The following is a 19,605-nucleotide window of genomic DNA, read 5'->3' as shown; positions in this document are numbered from 1 at the left end:
GATGCGAGGAAGATGGGCAGGATTTGCCTCTGTTCTCCTGATGAACAGAGGAGTGCACCTGGCTCCCACCGAGCCTAATCACGCAGGTTTAAAGGGGTTTGGCTCAGGGCATCCCAACGTGACGGAAGAAGATGCTAGTTAAATGTTGGTCGTTTTCCATTCTCTTCAGGGGAAATCTCCCAGTGCCAATCTCTGAAAAGCTGTAAGACTCTGAAACAGATCTCCCCAGAAATCCCACCTGGAAGGACAGTAAGGTATGCTATTTATCTCTTCCTGAATCAGTTTTCTATGTGCTTCAGCCATCTAGGTATTGTACCTCTTGCTTCGTAGTGCCCTGATTTGTATGTTCGTCCTTTCTCCAACCCCTATCCAAATTGCCTCAAAGCATTCTGGAAGCACATATCATGTTAAAGTGTAAATAATATCCTCAGTGATTTCCCCTTGAATCTGTTTCCTTTGATGAATAAATGCCCAAGTAGTAGCAGTAGTATAAAAAATACGGAAAAGGGAAGGAAGAGATATATGGGATTGTTCTGGAGATGATATCCAACAGGACCCTTTTCAATAGCACCAATGCTTCCTCTATTTATCTTTCTTTCTTTCTTTCTTTCACACCTTAGCAAACAGATAATGAAACACATACACTCGAAGGAAGGGAAGAAGGGAGGAAGGGAGGGAGGGAGGGAGGCAGGCAGGCAGAAAGGCATAAAGCGACAGTTCTCCATCCTCCTGACCAGTCTGTCTATGGACAACCCACAGCATGAGTGGCTGGAAGGAAGGAAGGGAGGAAGGAAGGTTACTGGCTTTGCCTAAAGTGACATTTTTCCCTATAGGAAAGGTCTGATCTCAGACACACCATTTAACTGGTGATGTGGAGAATCCAAGGACAGCAACTACAATCAATTCCAAACCCTATATGTTAGAGAGAAAAAACCTGAAACTCAGGGAGGCAAGACCCAAAGTTAGGGGCAGTAGAACTATAATGAAGCTCCAGACTTCCTGACCTGCAGATGAATGTTCTCCCTATCACACGGTGCTTCATAATGCTTGATTTAAATCTGTAGGAGACACAGTGAAATCACAGAACTCGAGAGCTCAGGATCTTCAGTTGGGAAAGCCAGGGTTTGAAATTCGGGCCAGCCATTGGGCAGATTGCCCAATCTCTTTAAAGCCTTGCAACTCAAAAGGAGGTTCAGAAACCAGCCAATATCAGCATCACCTGGGCACTTGTTAGAACTATAGAATCCTAGGACCCGCCAAAAATCAACCTAACAATGTTCCCAGGTGGGTATGAATAACATTTGAGAAACACAAGTTAAAATCAGTGATTCTCATTCTTGGATGCTCATTAGAATCACCTGGGAAGCCTTAAACACTACTAAGGCCCTGGCCTCACCCGCAGAAGTGAACCATGCTTGGCCATCAGCTACAACCAATTTTAAGGAGTAATCAGGTGACTTTAATCATACAACTAATACGAAGGCACCAGAGGGCACTAGCAGAATGTCTCCTCTCCCCTTCCACAAGGCTCTTTTAAAGATTACAGGAGATAATGCTTTTAAAGCACATGGCACATACCTAGCATAGACTATGTACTCAAAAATGTTAATTTATTTCTCTTTGTTCTACTCTTTTTCTTCTTCCCTTTCTGCTTCTTCGGGTTCTTTATAATGTAATGCATAAGTTAAGCCAAGTTGCTTACCTTAGATATGTCAAGTTTTTTTTGCTTTGGTTTGGTTTTTGTTATTTATTTATTTTTTAAAAATTTTTGAATGAATAAAATTTAATGAGTTAACAGAATATGCCTGGCACTGTTTTATGCACTGATGAAACAAGAGTGAACCCTCACAGAACATAAACTCTGCAAACACAGGGACTCTTTTTTGCTATCCCTGTGACACGCCCAGCTCTGAGCCCAGTGACTGTTTCATTGTAGGAAATAAATGTGGAAATATATATCCCCCCAAACCAAAAAGTATATTGTAGTTACCTATTTGAGGAGGGTGACAAAACCAAAACCCAAAACACAAGCTTTTCATTTTAATATCTAGAATAAAGAAATAATTGAATGATGTCTTCTTAGTTCAGTTTTTAGTTTTAATTTTGAAAATCTGTTATGTCCTCCTTGAAACTAATGATAGATAATGATGTTGTTTCTTATTATACAATTATCAGAATAAATCATGTTCAAAGCATTTGTGTAAGAAACAAAAACAACTGGAGACCAAGCCCTCTGTGGTCAGACATTACTGACCTTGACGGCCACAGCGCCTGGGCCCAGTCGGACACCCGATCTCTGCCCTGTGGCTGTGAGGAGCACACAGTAAAGATACATGAAGGACTGCTTCAGGGCTGTTATGATCAAGGATTTATATTTTAATACATCCATGCTTTTGTCTGCCTAGAAGATTATCATTCATTGTTTCTAATTGCTCCATTTCTGGATCTGTTCGTAAATACACATTGTAAGAACATTTTCAAAAGATCTGTCACAGGATTCTCTATTTTTTGTGCTTTTAAATGTAAAAGCCCCCAAAAGAATTGGCAGCAACTCAAAATAATGATTATGTAAATGAAAAAAAAAGTCCTGCTTTTAACCAAAGAAAGGCAAAGCTATTTAGAGCAAGGATCACTCCTCCCCCTGGCAGCCTCCTTCTTCCTGGAGCGCCACTCTCTTCTCAGTTCTAGGGGATATTCCTTCCAGAGAACACCAACTGCAAAGTTGTAGTGGAGTTAAGGGCCAGTTACCAGTCTATACATTCACTCTTTATTGTAAAACTCAAACCATTCTCGGTTTTCTGGCAGTTGTGTCAGGCCAATGAATGTTTGTTTCCTCTTTTGTGGTTGAATATAAATTCTTGTTGGAAGAAGAGAAAAAAAAAAGCCCTCCAGATATTACAATAAACACACACAGAGGAAGAAAAAAAATTCTATCTCCGTTGAGTTTAACAATCAGCAGGGCCCAAATTACCTCTTATTAACATTTATTTTACAAAAGAGGCAGGGTATAATTTGGTGATAGATTCGGATTTGGAGAGGAGCTATAATCAGCCTCCTGAAGTGCTCTGCCTGAAGGACATGGCTGCTATTTTTTGTAATTATATTTTTCTGTCCCCACCCCCTTCCCCAGTCTGGAGAGTCTTTCACTCCTATCTCTGGTGCCTGCATTTCTCCCTCCCCCTTGCTCCCCTTCTCTCTTTCCTCCCCAGCCCCCTTCTCTCCCCTTTTCTCTTTAGGCCTCTTTTGAATAATGCAGCCTCTTTCAATAGCCCAGGCAGGCTTGAAGATTAGGAAGCCTGGTGGTGGAGATGGGGCCTGCTTAATAGGAGCAGGAGGCCTCTTCTGGCGAACAAGGTTCTGGGAACCAGTCCAACTGCAGAGAGCATGTGTTGGGAACCCTGAATAGGCAAGCAGCAGGCCGGCCCATATGTCAGCCTGTGCCACAAAGACTCTTCTGCATATCTACCATGACAAACAGGATTACCGAAGACAATTAATCTGGCACGCTTTATCAAAATCAAGCAGTGACCCCGACCTCTCCCCTCGGTGTGAGGCAGATGCCACGCTCCGATTCAATAGACCTTGAGTGTTCCCTTTTTCACTTCTGAAAAGAATCCAAGGTCTGAATAAGGCTGGCATGGACTAATTGCAACGACTGTGGACGGTGACAGTCTTAATCAAATAGGACGAATCTACCTTTTCTCTGACTTTTAATGGAGAGGCTAGCCACAGCTCCTTGTCTGCCACAGAAAGAAAAAGAAGTGCATCTATTTTACTTTTATCTGTCTTGTCTGGCGCCTGCAGCTTGCTGGGGGTGGGAGAAAGGGGCAGACATTCAGGTAGCTCCTATTCAGCTGTGCTTTGCCTCATATCTGGGAGTTCAATTCTAGTGGAAGAAAGTCTGCCAGTGGCTAAAGAACATAATGGTTTTTATGATTTAGTTAATTCTTTCCTGGTACTTTATGGGAGAGATAATGCAGCAGGAAAGTAGCAGGGCCTCCAGAATCGACAAAACCTCCAATTGTGACTCCATTGAGTCCATTCCTGTAATTTAATCCAATTTCTCTGTTTCGTCATCTGCACTTTTTTATGACCCTGATAAGAGGAACCTTGGATGGATGTCTGTTAAGAATATTTACCAAAGTGTTTAGATTGATTTAGAAATGAGAACGCTCTGTAGAAAGAAAATATTTGTAATTTTTCTTGAAGGTTTAAAGTTTTCAGAGAGACCAATGAGAAAAGGGAGGCGTTGGCTAGATCTTGTCCTACTAGGAAGAGGCTGTGGGTGAGTATGTAGGTCGGAATTGAACACAGGTGAAATTTAGGCTTTTTCTTATTGTTGTTAACCAATTCTTCTACCCATAAATAAGCCTAAATAGTCTGGGTGTAGAGGAACAGGGAGGAGACTAACTCTTATATTAGCCCATTCAACTTGGTGAGCCCTTGATTAGACATTTGGATAATGTCTCAGTTAAGAGTCCAGAAATCTTTCTATAAAAATAAATAGGAAGCTACTGCATGAAGTAATATAGCTTTTCTCAAAGAATCATGCTCAGGCAACCTGCATCATGATCACCTAGAGAACTCATTAAAAATACAGATTGGTAGAGTCCATGTGAGACCTAAGGACCCTCACTCCCTTAGTGTGGGCTTGTGTCGACCTTGGAACCATATTCCATAGGTGACTCTTATGCACTCCAACATGAGAATTGATGATGCAGTTGAAAGAGAGCGGGGGTGTCAGCCAGTAGACTTGGTTCTAGGTTTATTTCTAACTAAACTAGCTCTCTCATCTTGGCCAAGTCATTCTCTGCACTGCAGTTTCTTCAATAATTATGGCATTGGATGGATGTCTGTTAAGAATATTTACCAAAGTGCTAATATTTACCAAAGGGATCAAGATCTCCCTTGCCCAATTTAGCTTTAAAACAACTCGTTTCTCTGAATCTGATTTAAAGGAAATTCATTCCTTCCTGCCTTGGCAAATCTGACAAATAATATGTCTTTCTCAGCTCCCTTTTAATTGTATCATTTAGATACAGTGCAAGATTGTCAAAAAGGTACTAGAGTTCCAGGTTGTGTGATTCTGAGGACACAGATTAAATACATATGTTATAAGTATATATCTAATCATGTAAATACATAGTAAATAAATATTTATTTATAAATATTAAATGGAATGATATTATGAAGCTCAGTTATCAGGAGAAAGCAGTTTGTTGTTAAAGAATATGTGAGTAAATCAGAGCACTGGGAAGTCATGCTTGTATTTGATCAACTCAAAAAAATTGAAGATGTAAATTTTACTAAAAGGCACGGGAGTCTGGGTAGCAAAGAGTGTGGAAATTGTCCTTACCTGAATTGTTGTTACATTAGACCCACCTGAGATTTACTAAGTCAGGGTCGTTTTCGGTGTCTGACTCATTGTAGGTGCCTGGCTCTGGACCATACTGAAAAGTACAGAGATTGCCCTGCAGGAAGCTCTCTGCTGACATCATTTCAACCAGGGCTGGGAGAGGACTGCTGTCTATATGGGTGGTTACATAGAATCCTTATACTTACATATTAATTTTCCCTGGACACAGAATTCTTTCTTAAAACTATGAAAATCTGGCTTGTTCATCTATGTTGGAAATTATTTGCTATTAAATTAGTAATTAGTTTCAGGATTTATAAAGTCCAAGAGCAGTAAGATTGTCTTCAACTGATGTTAAGCATCTAATATAAGCAAAGCTCTTAAAATATAGAGAAGCATTTCTAGAAAAATGATGCATATGTGAAGTAAATAAGGGAATTAAGAATATTATTTGTACTGGCAAGAAAAATTGAGAAATTAGGCATTTAAAAAAAATAGCTTCCAATTTAGAAGGAAATAATATATATTTTATTTGTTTCTTGTATCCAATAACAAGATGTAAAACCAGATTCCTTTGACTCTCATGTGTATGTGTATATATATTATAATGTGTATGTATAATATATATTGTGTATATATAACATAATGTGTATATATAATATAATAATATGTATATATACATACATTTCAGACTCAAGAGAGGATTTGAGTGTAATCATAGGTATATAAGGCATAAGGTTCTTAGGCAATAAAAATTTGGTCAACAAGCACTTAACTAGACAGTTTTGGCCTCTAAAACTATTTTCCATTCCTGCTTTCCAGCTTTACTAAACAATCCTGGTATTTTAATGATATAAGGAGACCCTACTCTCCAGACCTAAGTGTACACACATGGATGGGGTGGTCATGTGCTAGTTATTAAAATGGTCCTGGGCAAAGCTAATTTGGTAGTGCTGTGGGACTGAGATAAAATGCAACCCTGTTCTCATTTTATGGGGAGAGTCTCGGGCTAGTGTTTTAGGCTGGCAAGTTCCAGATCTAGGGAATCACTCTATGGTGTCAGTAACTGTTATAAGCTTCCTGTCCTGGGGGAAAAATAGCTTACTGCTGATAAGAAAGAGGTGATTGTCCTTGATGTGCCAGCTGCCAGAGTCCCAGCTTGGTGGGGTCAGGTACACACTAACCCTTCAGTGCAACTCCTACAGTTGGACAACAGTGCAGGTGCTGGTGTTCTTCCCTCACAAATTGATGATCCTGCCCAGTCTGTTTCATTTCTTGTGAGTGTCTCAGCAGAAAACGCACCCGAGAATAAACCTAGACCCCTTGCAACATTCAGGAAACCTGAGTGTAACCCACGACCACCCGAACAATTGAACATTAGCCCCACCCTGTTTAACTTTCCCCTCTTGAATCCTTAAATGGTTAAAACACCACATGAATGCTGAGATAAACTCCTGCTGTGATAATTTACTGTCAGAAATATTGAGTGCACTTTAGTGGGACGGCAGTAGGAATGGTCTTCTCAAGTGCTGCAGTACAAAAGCTGGGACTATCAAGATTTTTTGGCAGGCTTTGCATTTTCCTTGTCATATTATATATTGCAGAAGTACAATTCAGGATCAGTACAAATCAGCTTAGAGGACAGGGGAAGCGGTGGGTTGCATCAGCAGCACCTGGGCTAAACAGAAGGTGGCAGCATTTTAACATTGCCGGGCACATGTACACAACGGCACATGCGCAGACGCCATTCCATGATCATTGGGTTATCGTCTGCATTCCTGACGTAGTGTTTACAGCTTCCTGCTTATGGCAACAAGGAAGCAGAACGCAGAGTGATGAGAGATTTATGTGGATATGATAGCACTGGACACTTCGAGGCTCCATTGGCAAAACATGCGGCAAATAGGAAACCAAGGGGTGAGCTGAAAATATCTATGGTACTGTCGGAAAGCTGCTTATTTTCCATTCCTTGTTAAAACTTCAACACGAAAGGTGTAAATGCATCAAAATTAAGCCTAGAAAGGAATAGGCAGTTTCAATGTTTTTCAGCTTCTAAAAAACTCTATGAAACAAATTTATAACTGGGAAAACCTTGTACTGTGAGTAAGAACATTGTGGTGCAGTATGGGCTCCGTTTCAAAACGGGCTGTGAATCCTTCCGTGTACTGTTGAAATCCCTCCCCTAACTCCCAGCTCCCCTACTGGCTAGCTTATGCCCGAGAAATCTCCGACCCTGTTTATTTTTTAACTGAAATAATAAGTGTACCTTCCTGATAGGGTTATAATGATTTGTGAGGTCATATATGTAAATCGTATTGCCCGGTTCATACTAGCTGCTCAGTAAATGCTATCTTTATAATCATTACTGTTATTGAGTTTTACTGTTTTCAAAAAATTGCATACAGTAGTTAATTTGATTCTTACAGCAATTCTGAGAATTATGCAAGAAAAGAGTTCTTACAATAAGGATAGTAAGTGCAGGCTAAGTGACCAGCCAAGCTGCAAGCCAGGTCATTTCATCAGGGGCTGTTTTCTCATTGGTTAAATGAAAAAACTGAGCAGGAGATAGATAACCATGAGGTTCTTTCCGGTTCTAATAGTTGCAACTCTGTCATTTAGTTTAATTTACAGCATAGTAAGCAGAGATCCAGAGGGCAATTAATTGCATTTTTATCTTAGTAATTTGCTACAAATGAAAACAATGACTGTTTGCTATGGGCACACAGAGCTCTTATGCCTGATGAAAAGTAAAAGAAATATTGGAACACAGGGGTCTTGTGAAACCCAACCAATGACAAAAATCAATTCAAAGTGTGAGCACTTCACAAAAGAAATACTGCTTAATTTTATACACAGCCCGGCACTTGACTGTATATTATAGTCAACTATACTCCCCATCTATTAGCTCCTTATCTGTGAGAGTGCTTCTCCTGAAATTAATCTGCCCTAAATTTATCATACATGTTCCAGAATGAGTGTGATTGTCAATAGCACTATTTAAAAGAATGACCTTCTAAGGGGAACAAGCAAACATTTGTGAAAGTCATTCAACTAACACTGCTTGCTAAGAAGTGGGGTGTTTTATTTATGGCTGTTGTTTTGATAAAATGTCTGAAACCTCACAATTGTCTCCTCTGAAAAACTGCCACGTTTAGGATTTTTTTTAACAATACTTTTGTACAATTACACCACACATGAGAAATCAGGCTTCATGTATGACCTCAGCTCTCATTAAGATCATTGTGAAAGTTTCATTGCATCACCCAGATGCATTTTAATTGTCACATCTAATGCAATGCTATAGTTGTATTTTACAGCTTAAAATTAAACCTTTTTTGGCAACATCTGCTAGAGTGCTAATAATTTAGGTGTGGAAAAATATCTGTCATTGTAAGATTGTCCGATTAGAAAATAAAATGGGTTTGGTGAGAAAGGCCCTTCTTTTTCAACAACTCTCCTACTCATGACAAAAATCCCTCCTCTCTTTTCAGTAGACCTTTGACATTTAAGAAGTATATGCCCTAAGATTTCTACAGATCCTGAAATTCATCACTACGGCAGAATCACGCATCTTATGGTGAGTCAATGATGACTAATGTAGCAGAGGCGTTTACTGGTCATTGAATATCAATGTGTTCCCTCCACTTTTTCCACTACCTTTAAGTTAGACTGGATGGTGTGAATACATTATCTGACAGATGGCTGTGATTGGAAGTGATATGTCTCTCTGATGGGTTGAATCACTAAAGAACTACATTGAAACTCTCTCGCTTTCTCTTTTGCTGTCATGGAGAAAGAGATCATGAAATCACAGGAGGGAAAGTAACTTAGATCTCTGAGTCACTGAAAATAAATTCCTTACAGAACCACTGACCCCACAATAAATACTATGTGAGTGAAAAATAAACTTTTATGCCTGTTACTGCTGCAAAGCTAGGCTATCGTGACTAATCCAACTACCATAATAAAATCTATCCTATGCCACATTTCATAATAAATAGCACAAATTCGTAAGCCTGTTTGTGAGAACGCTCTTGTGTGTCTACTGATGCCATTGTAACACATCAGTAATGTGGAGGGTAGCCAGGTTTCTACCAGATCTGATTCCATGTATGGAGAAAATTTTGATGTGATTTGGCTTCATGTTCCACCCAAATCTCATCTTGAATTGTAATCCTCATGTGTCAAGGGAGGGACCTGGTGGGAGGTGATTGGATCATACGGGTTGTTTCCCCTTGCTGTGCTCCTGTTAGTGAGTTCTCCTGAGATCTAATGGTTTAAAAGTGTGTGGAAGTTCCCCCACCACCCCCTGCTGCTACGTAAGATATACTTTTCTTCTCTTTGCCTTCTGCCATGATTGTAAGTTTCCTGAGGCCTCCCCAGCCATGTAGAACTGTGTGTCCATTAAACCTCTTTTCTTTATGAATTACCTAGTCTCAGGTAGTTCATTATAGCAGTGTGAAAACAAGACTAATACAATTTGGACAATAAATTTCAACTCTATATGTGTTTTGCAATACATGATTTAAACCCACTTTCTATTACATTTCTCCCAGAGTCATTGAGAATCACTGGTACAGATTATCTGGAGGATTATTACTTTAAATTCAGAGGGAGAGAGAAAAAAAAAAAAAACAGCCCTGAGAAGTGGGAAACTGGCAGTCAACAAAGCTTATTCATTTCTAAGTAAATGTTTTACATCAGACTTATTGTACCTACATATTCAGAAAACTTTTTCTGAATCATTGTGAATCTATTTCTTAGACTTCAACTAATGCCTATTTGTGCTTGGAACATATCTTGCTTATAATTCTAACCCAGATATAATCTAATAATAGATTATATATCAGAAGCATTGGATTATCTGTTCTTTCATTTCTTCCTTCCTATCACTCAGGGTCCAATCAAGGGACAAAAAATATACCTATTACTTAAACAGAAATTACTCAATGCAAGGATTGTTCACTGAGTATAAAATGGTTTAATAAAGAACTCAAAAGACCAGAAAAGAATACTAAGGTGTAACGGAGATAGTATTGCAGGACAAAGCCTCCATTTCTAGGGCTACAAAAAGAAAGGAAAAGTCTGGAATTATAACAACATGGAAGCTTAGAGGAGAAGCCCTGTGGAGTAGAAACTCAGCCTTCTGAGGAGAAGGAGCTGCTCATCTTGTGCTGGTGTCTCTGAGCTCAGAGGAAGAGCTCCCAGGACTGGGACCCGGCCTTTTCCACTTCTGAGAAGGAGGCACTGGCTGGCCGTACTGCTAGAGAGGGAGGGTCGGTCTACAAGTGTAAAAAAATGTGCAGTCTTGATTCAGCTGCTGTTACAGTCAGGACCTGCTTTACTATTGAGGGAAAGAATCATAGGTGGGCTGACACTCACAGAAACAGGATACAGGAAAGAAGAAGCATAGAGCCTGCAGGAAACAGACATGACACAGCAAGCCTCTTCTTCTTCCTCCAGCAGTGTAGACAACCCTAGTGCCTCCTACTGAAAAAGTCTAACAGGAATCCAGATGCCCAAATGGAAAAGTGGTTTTCATAATTCTCATTATCACAAAACAGAGTATAGAAGAGTAGATTTGGTGCCAAGAAACTATCACTAAAAGTTAGCAGATATTTTTCTTTAAAATTAATTTCCTGGTTTACTTTGGAAATGACTGTCTCAGTAATTGAAAAGAATTAAGTGATTCTGACAATTATGTTTCCTTGCTCACCCATAGACCGGCCATATTAAAATTTTGCTAAATGCTTTACTTTAATTTGATTTTCTCTGTGCAGTAAAAATAGTGCTAGTATTGAAAATAATAAATCCTGGCCTAAGAGTAAGAAAATCTAAGTTTTAATCCTCCATGTACTATTTATGTGATCACTGGAAAACTATATAACATGCCTGAGATTTAATTACTTCTTGAGGATGTTATTGAATTATAAAAATTTAACATAAAATAATAATTTCCATTTGGTACTCTGACAGCCATGAAAATTCACCTTATAGACCACCAACTACAGCTGTTATGTGCTGAATTCCATCACAGCATTTGCACTGAGGCCACACTTTCCCTGGGCTGCCTCAGGCTACAGACAGCATGCAACTAGCACACTGATGTTGGCCTGTTCCCAGGAGACAGGAGACTCCTGTGATAGCCTACTTGGTCCCAGCAACTCCCCAACAACCTGATTGGATTTTCTGTAGAATACATGGCATTCTAGGACACTCGTACACAACCTTTTTTTGCTTTCTCCTTCACCCGGGGTGAGGCTTGCATGGTGGTCTGACGTCTCTCTCAAACTTCCATGGCTTCCTCTTCATTTTGTCTCTCCGGCTTTTCCCTAATAAGGTCCTTGCATGTCTCATCCTATCTTGGAACCTGCTTTATAACATGGTTTGTGTTTCTTAAAATGCGATTTATGAACCCCTTTGGCCAGAATCATCTTGAGTTACCTTTTGAGATGCACCTCTCCAGGACCTATGTGAGAGGCCCCCAGTTAGGATTTTCTGAGGCTGGGGAAAGCTTTCTGAATTTTTAATTAGTTCTCCAGGTTATTATTGTTAATATTAAATGTACAGCTCCACTGTCACATGAACATATCTTTCAACATTTTAATGATTTCACTCCACCCTTTTCTTGCTTGTGTAGTTTCTGACAAGAAGTCAGCTGTAATTCCTATCCCTTTCCCCTTTAGTCTGATTTTCTTTCCCTATGGCTTCTTTGTCTTTTTTTTTTTTTTTTTTGCATGTGGTTTTGTTGTTGTTTTTCACTTAGAACATGATATAGCTAGGTGTATAGATTTTTTGCTGTTATTTAGTATATACCTGTTTTTTGTTTTCTAAGCTTGCTGGATCTGTGGTTTGGAGATAGTCATTAACTTTGGAAAATCCTTGGCCAATATTTCTTTTATTTTTTTTTTTTTGAAACCAACTCTTGCTCTGTCACCCAGGCTGGAGTGCAGTGTCATGATCTTGACTCACTGCAACCTCCACCTCCTGGGTTCAAGCTCTTCTTGTGCCTCAGCCTCCCAAGTAGCTGGAATTACAGGCATGTGCCACCATGCCTACTAATTTTTGTATATTTAGTAGAGATGGGGTTTTATCATGTTGGCCAGGCTGGTCTCGAACTCCTGACCTCAAGTGATCCACCCACCTCAGCATCCCAAAGTGCTGGGATTACAGCATGAGCCACCATGCCCGGCCACAATTGTTATTTCAAATTTTTATTCTGCTCCATTCTTTTTCTCTTCTCCGTCTTCTGTTATTGCAATTATGTGTATGTTGCAGCTTTTGAAATAGTCCCAAAGATCTTGGATGTCACTTATCACCAACCTCATTGTTTCTTTTCTCACCTATATTGAGTCTACTGATAAGCCCATTAGAGGCATTCTTCCTTTCAGTCACAGTGTTTTGTGACTGTTTCCTTTTGATTTTTGAGTATCTGCTTACATTACCCATCTGTTCTTTCTTTTTGACCACTTTTTCCGCCAAAGCCTTTAACATATCATAATTATTTTTAAATTCTCAGTCTAATTTCAAAAATCTGTATCCTATCTGAGTGATGATGATTACTTTGTCTCTTCAGATTCTGTTTTTTTTTCCCCCACCTTTTGGCATGTCTTATAATTTCACATCAAAAGCTGGATATGTTTTATTTTTCATTTTTCTCTTTTTCTTTTTTCCTTTTTTTTTTTTTTTTTTTTTTAAGATGGAGTCTCACTCTGTCACCCTGGCTGGAGTGCAGTGGCACAATCTTGGCTGACAGCAGCCTCTGCCTCCCAGGTTCAAGTGATTCTTGTACTTCCACCTCCTGAGTAGCTGGGATTACAGGTGCCCACCACCATGCCTGGCTAATTTTTGTATTTTTAGTAGAGACGGGGTTTCACCATGTTGGCCAGGCTGGTCTCAAAGTCCTGACCTCAGGTGATCCGCCCGCCTCAGCCTCCCAAAGTGCTGCGATTACAGGTGTGAGCCACTGCACCCAGCCAAAAGCTGGATATGTTTTATCAAGTCATAGGAACTAAATAAATAAGCTTTTAGTATAAGAATTTATGTTAATCTGGTTATGAGTTATGCTGTGTTCAGTGTTGCTGTAGCTATAGGTGCCAGAGTCTTCAAGTTCCCCCAGTGTCATTTTTTGGCCACCCGTCTTTATTTTGAGCTTGCCTAAGTGCTCCTCCACAGAGAGAGCATGTGTCTTACAGCTTTTTCAGTTGTGATCCATTTTATTATACTGAAATCCTGTTGGTGTATTGTTAAGTCATGGAGAAGGGGGTGTATTCTATAATCTTGGGGCTAAATCTCTAACTTTTCGTGAGCCTGTGTCTCAGGGCTGTGACCTTCACAAATGTTTGTATTCCTCTGCCTCTTAACTACCTTGCCTAGCTGCAGCATTTTCCAGTGTTTTTAATCTTTTTCTTTAAATTACTGACCTATTGACTTGGTTTTGATTTATTTTCTTTTTTGTTTTTTTGTTCATTAGCTGAGACAAGAAGGTTGGAGGGGACTGGAGTATAAGAAATTTTTCCCCCACGTGGGATAACATTCCAGCAAAATCCTTTTTTCTTCACAATAGGCTTTTGTTATGGAGAAGACTCTGGGTGTATTTCACAATGGTTACTTTTCCTCTTACTTGCCAGAGTCACAAGGGGATGTTTCATATATCTTCCTGAAGATAAAGCTCATGCAAATATAGACCACCTACAAAACTACAGCACCCAGTCTATCTTAACATTTTATCAAATAATTTAGCAATTTATCAAAGTTACCATTTAAGTATTTATACAAATTTATGCTCCAGCTGCTTCTGCTCCAGGTACACAGATCTCAGATGTCTCTCTGGATCTCTCTCTCTCCTTTATTTCAGGGTAGTGGTTCTCCAATGGGCTTGAGAAAAAGTAATTGATTTTCAATTTGTCCAGCTTTTTCTTGTTTTAAAGATGAGAGAGATGACTAATAGGATCTTTACATATCAGAGATGAAACCAGAGATTACAACCACATCCCTGATTTCACAAATAAACAAATATGGATTGAGTATCTGCAACATAAAAAAAATCTGTAAGTGATAGACTCTATCTCTGCCTTCAACTTCATAGGAAATATGAGACACTCATGACTCTCAAATAGCTCTGACTATCCTGTATCCTCAGATCCAAAATCTACTTTTCCCACTAGCTCCCTGGTCTGATGACCTTGGAGGATAGAACATCAAAACTCACATGAAGACAAATCTCTGACATAAAGAGAGCACTTGTTTTGAAGACATGAGCTTATCTAGCCCTAGAGAAGTTTGAGGGCTGGGCTTTTTCTTATCTGAGATATGGCTTCTAAAACGTTCACCAGCATTCTGTGTAAATCTTAGCATGAAATTTATTACATATGCATTTCTATCTTCCCACCAGTAAGTTCCTTGAGGAAAGGAACTCACTTTCTTTACATGTTTATCTTCAGAATATAGAATATGCTCTCAAATAAAAGCAGCTCCATAAGTATTCAGAGAATAAATAAATCCCAATATACTGTTATCAGAAAGTTTCTATTTATAAATTACTAAATACTGTTTGACCACATTTCTGGGACTAGTAGCTGTTTTTAATGAAAATTCAAGAATAAGATAAATTCCAGGCAAGTAGCCTCCATAATTTAATGTCAATATTAATAATTTAAAATGTGTGGGATATGAAATAATGATGATCAGTATCCACATCCTAACTAGAAATTTCTATTTAAATTAAGGAATCTTCTTATCTCCTTAAGATCATAGTTGTCAGAAATTTTTAATTGTCTTATTCTTCTTGGTACTCATATTTGATTATGCAGATCTAACATATCTGTCATTCAATTATTAATTCTGTCTTCAATTAAGCATAGATTTATTGAGCCTAAATTAATAGGCAGAATTTTTCTGGTTGCTGGTGATAAATTAAGGAAAAAAAATATTGTCTCTTGCTTTTAAGTAACTCCAATAGTTTAGGTACAAGGAGGCTACAGATGGGAGGGTCACCTAAGATAGAAAAAGATATCACAGAAATAGCATCCTAGGAGAGGTGATGTTCATTGACATTTTGGAAAGTGTAAATATTATTGAAGGAAAACATACATACCTAAAAGTGCACAAATAATACTCGCACAGTTCAGTGAATGTATGTAGCTGCCGGGCCCGACTTGCAGACCCTGACGGAGCGACAGATGAATAAATGCACTCAGACACAGGTTTCCAGTGAAAGAGCAGGCTAGGAGACTGGACCACTCACAGAAAGAGTTGTAGCAGCCGTGGCCCTGACAAGCCAGCACTGTGGGCATTTATTCGGTACAGATTTAATGACAAAGGCCTTGAGTCAACACACTTGTGGGTAATTAACATGGTTGCTACCCCCACCCCTGAAGAGAGTAGTCCTGCATGTGGATGATCAAAGGCCACGTTCAGAGGCCTAAGTAGACTAACTTATCTAGATGAGTTTCTTTACACTTCCTTGTTATCTAAACTAAGCTTTCAAGCACTGGATAAGACAATCTGGCTGCCTTCAGCCAAATCGTTTTCTAAAGCCTTTGTAAAACCTCCTGGCCTTCCAAGAAGGTTTGCATCTTTCTACAATTTTTCCCACCACCCTGACCAATCTCCTCCGTCTCCCCCTTTTCTGTTTTTAGCATCAGGTTTTGTTGATTGAAGAATACAGATGTGTGCAGCAACAGGTTTGTTAGGCACGGCAGTTATAACTCATACTCCAGCTTTGCATCCTAGAATTAGTAAATAATGTAAGACAAACATGAGAATAATTAGCAACAGTCTTTTCCAATCAAGGAGTGACTCCCCCCAGGAGTGGGGGTCTATCCAGGAGAGATGATCTCCTACACCCTTCCATATGGCTGATTGTTGGGCATGTAGATCTATGGTGTTTAGGGATTTTAGAATTTTAGTTTTAAGTGGCTTTATGTCTGCTGTTAAATTGTCATGAAAGGTTCCCCAGAGGTGTTGTTTCACCTCATCTGAACTATGTATTGATTGATTTCGTGGTAGAGAAGTGACACAGAAATGTTTTTGTTCCCAGTTGCAGTTTAATTGCTGTCAGAATACCAGTGCATCTTGTTGCTCCCCCACATATTCCAAGGCAGCCTTGAGGGCTTGCAGACATGCAAGAATCTTTTGATCTATATCCTGCTGTAAGAGAAGTTCATTAGACACATTTTTGGCCAAATATCTACAAAAGTAGCTGTTTGTACTGATTCAGTAATAGATGCTACAGCAACACTAGCAGTTGCTAGGATGACTGTGGCTGAGACTATAAAGGCTAAAAGTATAACTATAAGTCTTTTGTGTCTCATTTGGGACAGGGCATGTTCCAAGATGGCAAGGGCAGAGGAACGTTGCCAATCACGTGTTAAATTGACTGGTAGGAAAGGCTCAGATTGTCTTCTCAACACCATGACACTAGTAATATTTAAATTAGATATATTATAATTAGAGATACAAGAAGCAAACCAAGCCTGTCCCTACACTTGGGTCACAAACATGGAGTTTTGGGGTGTAATAGAAATATTGGTTCCCATAAGGAAAACATAAGGATGGGTAGTACAAATCAGGCACTGATCAGTTTGATTATGAAAAAAAGTTCATTAGTATAACTGTGATTGGAATTATGATATGTCTCATGCCAGGTGTTAAGAGGGGTGCTAAGATATCCCAGGTACCATAAAGCTTCTTGAGGTAGCATGGACTCTACTTGGGGTCTGGGATATCTCATCTCCCTATTGGCCCAAATAATAAGAGAACAGGACGTGGCTATGAAACTGTCACTGATGCCACGATAGACATGGACATCAGTACAATTGCCCTGAAAATGGCTGTAGGGGCTCCAGTCAAAGATGTTATAGTTGTCTAACTGGAGGCTATGGGCCTGTTCCCTGTGACAGACCTCCCAGCTAAACTGGAATCCACTACCTTCTTGGCTTTGTTTTTTAGCACAGGGAGAAATGTTTGGGAAAGTGGCATTGATTGCATTGCCTGGTTTGAGGCTGCCTACAACTAAGACTGTTAAGGGATTTCCTTTGCCATGATGTAGCCATAATTGTGTTTGGGCAGGTACACAGTAAGGGTTAGAACTTTTATAACTTACACACAGTGGGAGGATAGTGGAGTGACATGTAGTGTTACCTGGCACCTTAGTCCAATGTGTACCATTAATGAGGAACCCTACTGGGGGTAAATCTATCCCTCCTAGCCAAGTAGTTACATTATTAGAGGCTGGGAAGGGGGTGTCTGCCCAGGTGACAGGGCAAAAGAAAGGTGGATCTAAGATATGAGCCCAATAGAGTATAGCAGGTACAGGTTGCAGACAAAGCAAGAGCATAAAAAGGATCAATACTGTATGTGAGTTGCAATGTACAATAGAGAGCATAGCAGGGAACAGATTATCTGGAGTGAATGGTGTTGGTGTCTGTGTCTGGAGCAGGATTCGCTCAGCCTTCTGAGTTGTCCTCTTTAGCATCCCCCGTGTAATGTCCGGGACTTGTGTCGTCCGAGGAAGCTGCATTGTCTGGGGCTGCAGATCCTGTAGGGTCCTTTTCTTCATTTCTGGTACTGGGTTGAGTCCCAGCCACACCATGGTATGGTTTGATACGTTGTGCTGGAATTCAAAGAGGACCTGAGGGGGTGTGAACACAAGCATATCCTCTTTCCTACATTAACAATTCATTTGGACAATACCATACATTACTGTTTACATCTTTCCATAAAACTGCAGGTTTTATGTCTTGAGACATTTTAGCAAAGTGCTTTTCTACAGCTGATTGAAATTTATCATATAAATTTTAAAAATTTGAGGGTAAATAAGGCTTGTGCTAGTAGTGTTGCAGGGTCCTTACTCATATTCCCCCTTTTTTGTTTTCTGAGCATATTTTTAAGGGTGGAGTGGGTACATTTGATTATGGCCTATCCTTGGGGGTTATACGAGATGCCTATGGAGTGATGGATGTTTCCCATGTGACAAAATTGTTGAAATTGTGAGCAGGCATAAGCCAGACCATTATCAGTTTTAATTTTTGTGAGCTGCCCCATAAATGCAAAAGCTGAAAGAAGATGTTTAATGACATATTGGGTGGACTCTCCAGGAAGAGCATGAGCGCTAATTAAATGAGAATTGGTATCAGCTGATACATGTACATATTTAAGTTTTCTAAATTCAGGGATGTGTGTAACATCTGTTTGCCATAACTGATTAGCTTTTAGTCCTCTAGGGTTAACACCTGTTGAAGGAGGGGACATGCCTGTGAGCTGGCAATCTGGGCATTGTAGGATAATTTGTTTAGCTAGTCTCTGGGTAAGTTGAAATTGTTTAGATACGTTTTTCCAGTTTGGGTGGAAAAATTGATGCGATTGGTTGGCTTGGTCAAGCAGTGATGTAGGTCTGCTTGATCATTGCCGTAAGCCAATGTGCCTGGCAGTGAGCTGTGGGCCCAAATGTGAGTAATAAAAATAGGATATGTACGTTGATCTAGCAATTGCTGAAGTCGGAGAAAAAGTGCACACAGGGTGGGCTCTAGACTGGACTTAATGAGGGCTGTCTCAAGGTTTTGTAATAAATAAACAGAGTAAGCAGAATGACTAACAATATTGATGGGCTGAGCAGAAAAAGTTCTCAAGGCCAATATTAAGGCTCCAGCCTCAGCTCTCTGAGTGGTAGTAAATCCAGAATGAGTGAGGGAATTATGTGGTCTCCACCAAACAGCCACTTTTCCATGTTTACCAGAGCCATCAGTAAACAGAGTTAAAGCTTTAGGTATGGGGGAGTGAACTATTTTTGTAGGTAAAATCACAGGAGTACGAGATAAGAACTGAAGGAGTTTGTCAGCAAGAAGGGCATGCTCTATATGGCCTGTATAATCACAGAGTGCTATCTGCAGGTCTATAGATAAGGGCAATACTGCTTTGAATTGTTTTTACTCAAGAGGAATTTTTGTGACATCATGGTCATAACCTAGCAATAGATTGTATTGTCTGCGGCCTGAATAGATGACTTTGCTAACTAACTGGATAGAGGGAGAGAGTGTTCTAGTCCTGGTATGTGAGCAAAAAACCCATTCTAGGAAGCGCAGCCCTGGGGTCATCTGTCTTATTCATCCTGTAGGAGAGTGTTTAGTGGGAGAAACAAACAATTGAACTGAATACCATGGATCTCTATGATCTAGTTGCCTTTGAGAAATAGCTTGCTCTATCTTTTCAATTTCCCTTTGTGCTGAAGGAGTTAAATACCTAGGAGA

General features: G+C 39.7%; 1 long non-coding RNA gene across 1 annotated transcript in view, besides 2 other annotated features; it reads left to right on the top strand.

Annotated features, from left to right (window-relative positions):
* Positions 2,229 to 4,403: an enhancer, noted in NCBI's record as "VISTA enhancer hs1352". NCBI's record gives its function as "enhancer in: neural tube[5/7] | hindbrain (rhombencephalon)[5/7] | midbrain (mesencephalon)[7/7] | forebrain[3/7]" and the evidence as "EXISTENCE:transgenic organism evidence [ECO:0001131][PMID:17130149]".
* The window catches only part of LOC105374974 (uncharacterized), a 120,749-nt gene continuing 108,285 nt past the window's right edge, over positions 7,142 to 19,605 (top strand). Inside the window, exons 1-2 of the long non-coding RNA XR_926583.3 lie at positions 7,142 to 7,273; positions 8,848 to 8,933. This is a non-coding gene — a long non-coding RNA (uncharacterized LOC105374974). The remainder of the gene's footprint in view (positions 7,274 to 8,847; positions 8,934 to 19,605) is intronic.
* Positions 8,093 to 9,292: an enhancer, noted in NCBI's record as "P300/CBP strongly-dependent group 1 enhancer chr6:23175123-23176322 (GRCh37/hg19 assembly coordinates)". NCBI's record gives its function as "activates an origin of replication core promoter dependent on BRD2, BRD4, P300/CBP, MED14 and CDK7 cofactors, with strong dependence on P300/CBP, by STARR-seq in HCT116 cells {active_cell/tissue: HCT116}" and the evidence as "EXISTENCE:reporter gene assay evidence [ECO:0000049][PMID:35650434]".

This window comes from Homo sapiens, chromosome 6 (assembly GCF_000001405.40).
Source record: "Homo sapiens chromosome 6, GRCh38.p14 Primary Assembly".
Taxonomy (NCBI): domain Eukaryota; kingdom Metazoa; phylum Chordata; class Mammalia; order Primates; family Hominidae; genus Homo; species Homo sapiens.
This window is presented reverse-complemented; position numbering and strand designations above follow the sequence as displayed.